Genomic DNA, 2,796 nt, shown 5'->3' on the forward strand with positions numbered 1-2,796 from the left:
AAGCCAAACAAAAACCTATGCCCCTCCCCACCTCCATCTCTTAAGGAGGCAGTACTAGGCACCTATCCTGCTTTCAACGAGAAGACTGCTGCTATTGTTCTTGAATAAGAAATCAGAATTGTGAAATCGTCTCTGTTATTTGGTGTCAGTATTTGATTTTGAGGCCAATGAGCTGAAAATCACTGGTTTAAAATTATCTGTTAGCAATAGAATCAGTGCTTCCATTAGCTCACTTTGCTAGTTGAGGTTTCCATTCTGTCAAAGGATTCTAGAATTCTCCGAGGCTTTTTGAGTTGAGTCCGTGTTGCATGATTTCCTTTGTCCACAAGGCAGTGAAGTCAACTCTGACCAGCCTTGCACTATTTTCTTGTCTGTTCTGGCAAAACAAGGACTATACATCCACATTTCAATGTGAAGGTCCTATAAAGAAGGAAATTGTCAGAAGAGTTCTGCAGGGTTTCCAGGTACCTACAGATTTCTTCCTGCAGAAGCCTTGGCAAGGCCTTGTCACCTTGACTCCTGCTTGTCCCACACTTGCTCCAGGATTGAAAAGTTTGTTTACTTCTAGTCTTTTCTTTCAGAGTAGGAGCTTGGTCAAAATATCTTGCAATTTTCTAGTAGCATTTGTATTTATTATAAACTCTTGCTGCAAAGATTTATCTCTCTGGTGTGTCCCTAAAGACCCCTACTCCAGGAATCTGAACTGTGAATTAATGTCATGTGATCAAATAAATTTTTCTGTTCTCTCTCAAGAAAAGATAAGCTACCTAAATTTGTGTGGTAGGTTAGTCAACTAATTTCTTTTCCATAGCTCCAGGAGCCGATGTAAGTAGGGAGAAGAACAGTGCCAAGGAGAAACTGCTGTTGCCAAAGAGGAGGGAGGAAGAAGAGGAAGGAGGAAAGAGGCAAACATACAAAACCTCAGACAAAACGCAGCTTTGCTAGCACACAGATGGATAATGGGAAGACAAAGATATGGAGAGTTGGATGCCTTTGGCAGTAAGTATATCGGAAAGGCTCATTCAGGCGACATCACCCAAGATCTCTGCTCTGGGTAAAAAGAGAACATCAGCTTGAAAAGCTTAAAATTCTACTGGCAGACACTGTCTGACATGGAAATATCTCTAACCGCAAGATGATTTGCAATTAGCATTCTTTCTAGTGGCACAGTAACTGCCTCATATGATTGCTAAGGAGATTAAATAAGGTAGAGCTTGAGAAAGACCCCATTAAACTGTAATGGGCTATTCAATGTTAGCTATTGTCATTTTCAGAGTTACCAAATAAAATTCGACTTGCATAAAAATATTTGCTGCGGTTCTATTAATATGCTGGGGACATTAAATTTGTGATTTAAGTTAATTCTTACAATGACCCTGCAAGGCAGGTATTGGTTCCATAGATTTTTTAAAAAGTGAAGATAACTTATAGCTTGTCTATACAAAATGTACTTCAAAGTGTGGGTGATATTTCCTGTGCCTACCAAGTGTCTCTAAATGTAATCTCTGAAAACATAAGAAGAACAATAATGTAGGGTTTGGATTTAACTAGACTGTGTCAGTAAGCCTGGAGTTGAATATTCAATACAAATGCACCTGGATCTTTTTGGCAGTTGGGGAGTGGTGGGTCAGTGTTCATTCCTTCTCCAAGAGGAAAATATAGAAAGATAAGAGTGTGCTGTGAAGAAGAGAGAAAGGGCACCTTTCTCAGGTTATCTGGGCTGCTAGCTACCACCTGATTAGTTGTCATTAATGAGAGGAATTTGGCTAGGTCCTCCCATGGTTTTTATCAATCACTGGTCTGTGAGAATGGGAAGAGAGGCTCTCAGTGTAGCGCAGAGGGGTGTGAGAGAAGACGCAGTGTGGATGAAAAGTACAAGATGGTCCCAGACTCTTCAGAGGAGCTAAAGAGGTGTCCCTTCTAGCACCATGAGCTCAGAATATCCTGGGCTGAACAGAATATACAGAGAGAGGAAGAGAGAGAAAGCAAAGCTGGAAAGTACTGTAAAATATAATCACAGGAATGAAGAAGAGAAAATGGAGTTTCTGGGCTTATTGGTATCCCAGAAGAGAGAATAGAGAATTGACTTTCAGCATGGCACTGTGACTCCCAGTGCTAAAGACTTGGGTCAAATCCAAGCAGATTCACTTGTTGGCTGTGTATTGTGGGCCAGGAGTGGTTTGAGGCTCTGAGAAGGTGCAGTGGGCGGAACCCAGCACCTGTCCTTACGTTGTCCCTGGAGGCAGGGGTAAGACGGGTAAGTGGAGGTTCGTGAAACTGAAGGACCATGCTCAAACGAGGAAGACGAAGACCTCGAGGGCCTATAGCAGCCCAGACTGAGCCCAACACACCGCAGCATCGAGGCTGGAGAAGGCGCTGGGCAGCTGATCCCCCGGGACCCTGTACAGCTCTTCCTTTTATTTTGTTTTATTTTTTAACTTGTATTTTAGGTTCAGGTGTACTCGTGCAGGTTTGCTATATAAGTAAATTGAGTGTTGGCGAGGTAGGGGGGTGGGGGCTGGTGTACAAGGTATTTTGTCACCTGGGTAATAAGCATAGAACCCGATAGGTAGTTTTTTGATCCTTGCCCTCCTCCCACCCTCCACCCACAAGTATGCCCCTATGCCTGTTGTTCCTTCTTTGTGTCCATGTATACTCTATGTTTAGCTTCCACTTATAAGTGAGAACCTGCAGTATTTGGTTTTCTGTGCCTGCGTTCGTTTGCTTAGGATAATGACAGCTCTTCATTCTAAACGCAAGGAAGGTCCAAAAAAGACGGACAAATGGCCAACAAAC

General features: G+C 42.7%; 1 long non-coding RNA gene across 1 annotated transcript; it reads left to right on the forward strand.

Annotated features, from left to right (window-relative positions):
- Positions 1 to 295: 295 nt before the first annotated feature.
- On the forward strand, positions 296 to 1,306 carry LOC124907998 (uncharacterized). Its single transcript, XR_007088133.1, has 2 exons — positions 296 to 464; positions 812 to 1,306. It is a non-coding gene; the product is annotated as an uncharacterized LOC124907998 (long non-coding RNA).
- The last annotated feature ends 1,490 nt before the right edge of the window (positions 1,307 to 2,796 follow it).

Source organism: Homo sapiens, chromosome 2 (genome assembly GCF_000001405.40).
Source record: "Homo sapiens chromosome 2, GRCh38.p14 Primary Assembly".
Classification (NCBI taxonomy): Eukaryota; Metazoa; Chordata; class Mammalia; order Primates; family Hominidae; genus Homo; species Homo sapiens.